The 1,819-nt window shown below is 46.1% G+C and overlaps 1 annotated feature.

Moving 5' to 3' along the window:
* Nucleotides 501-795: an enhancer, noted in NCBI's record as "tiled region #1318; HepG2 Activating non-DNase unmatched - State 22:ReprW, and K562 Activating non-DNase unmatched - State 22:ReprW". NCBI's record gives its function as "activates a minimal TATA promoter and a strong SV40 promoter by Sharpr-MPRA in HepG2 and K562 cells {active_cell/tissue: HepG2 | K562}" and the evidence as "EXISTENCE:reporter gene assay evidence [ECO:0000049][PMID:27701403]".

Below are 1,819 nucleotides of genomic sequence, written 5' to 3' on the forward strand. Positions count from 1 at the left end.
CAGGACGAGGTGGAATGTATTTGATGGTGTCGAGAGGAGAATTTCAGAGTGAGAAAGAGGCCAAGGAGTTCTGTTTGGTAACAGGGAAGAAGATGTACGAGGAGCAGATTTGGGGAAAAGTCAATGAATTCAATTTCCCATGTTGAGCTGGGAAGCCTGTGGGATATCCCATATGGTGATTGGATCTGTGGGCCTGAAGATTTGTGAGGAGGCTGGGGGTGAAAGACAGTCCTCGGGGTCATTGGCAGGCAGTGAAGATTGAAGCCATAGGGTCAGTCATGTTCACAGTGGGTAGGAAGGAGGGTCTGGGAGGTGTTAAGGATGAGAAGACTGCTGGACTGGAAACAGATCTTTGGACAAGAGCAAGAGTTAAGAACTGGCCAAAGGTGATCAACCAGAAAGGAGGAGACAGACATGGAAGGAACTAGGATTGGGGGACAGAGAAGCAACAAGGGAGTGGCCTGCAGTGTCCACAACTGCAGAGAAAGGGGCTGTAGGGCCTGGCTTGGGTAGTATACATCTGCTTAGCAGACAGGCAGACAGGCCAGCACATGGAATTTAGAGGGTCTGTGTCATGCAGAAAGGACCTGGGGTCACGGCATGAGGCTTGTTCACAGGACAAGAACTGATTTGAAAACATTTGTGGTTAGTTGATTTGAAGCTGAGTCACCGTGACTGGTGGGGGGAGAGGGAATATTTTGTTGAGGAGGGCAGCTATTGCTTTTTAACTCCTTCCGCTGTTCTCTCCTACATCATGGTATCCAGATAGGATATCCAGGTTCTCTCTCTACTTCCTTCATCAGGTTCTTCACTTCATTCATTCATAAGATAATGCTTGCAGAGAGTTTAGAACAGAGCTTGGCATATACAAGAGCTCAGTAAATGTTAGCTTTTTCTTTTTTATTGTTTCTCATTTTGAGTTGCTGACTGTGGCAGACCACCCTAAGGTGGCCCCAGTGAGTCATGCCCTTGTATATTTCCCTTTCCCTGGGTACAGGCAGAACCCGTGACTTACTTCTAACCAGTAGAACATGGCAATGGGATGCCCTCCCCTTGATTAAATTACATTGTGTAGCAAAGGTGATGGGATATAACTCTCATGGTAATGTTATATTACTTAAGACTCCTTCGTAGCAGACAAGAGAGGGACAGAGACTCTCCTGCTGGTCGTGAAGGAAGATGCAAGCTGCTATAATGTTAATTTCCTAACATAGCAGGAAAATGGAGTGGCTTCTAGAAGGCCCTCAGTTCTACAACCACAAAGAATTGAATTCTGCACAACTACATGAGCGTGCTAGAGAACCCCAGGTCCAGAAAGGAACACTGCCTAGCTGATACCTTGATTGCAGTCTTGGGGAACCTCAAGCAGAGGAGCCATCTAAGCTGTGCCCAGGCTCCGGAACCACAAAAAACTGTGAGATAATAAATGTGTGTTGTTTTAAGTTGCTCAAGTTGTAGTAATTTATTATCACAGCAATTGCAAACTAATACATTGATATTCATTCGTTTAACAAATGATGACTAAGCCAGCAGCACCTGGTACACAGTGTGACACCCTATGTAGGGGAGTAGATATGTAAGACACAGTATTTGTCTTCAAGGGCTCCTAGTAAGTTCCTGAAACATTGGGTTCCCAAAGCAGGAGTTGACCTATTAGCAATGGGGCGTGAGGAGGTAAGGGGAGACTTCCAGGCAGAGGGAACAACATGTGGTAAGTCCCACAGGCCCGTAAGGGCTATAGCATCCTGGTTGTTGAGAACTTCAGTGGAAGAAAATGTGGTACCTAAAGTAGATGTGAATGGGCCTCTGTCACCTATAG

The sequence above is a fragment of the Homo sapiens genome, chromosome 3 (genome assembly GCF_000001405.40).
Source record: "Homo sapiens chromosome 3, GRCh38.p14 Primary Assembly".
Classification (NCBI taxonomy): domain Eukaryota; kingdom Metazoa; phylum Chordata; class Mammalia; order Primates; family Hominidae; genus Homo; species Homo sapiens.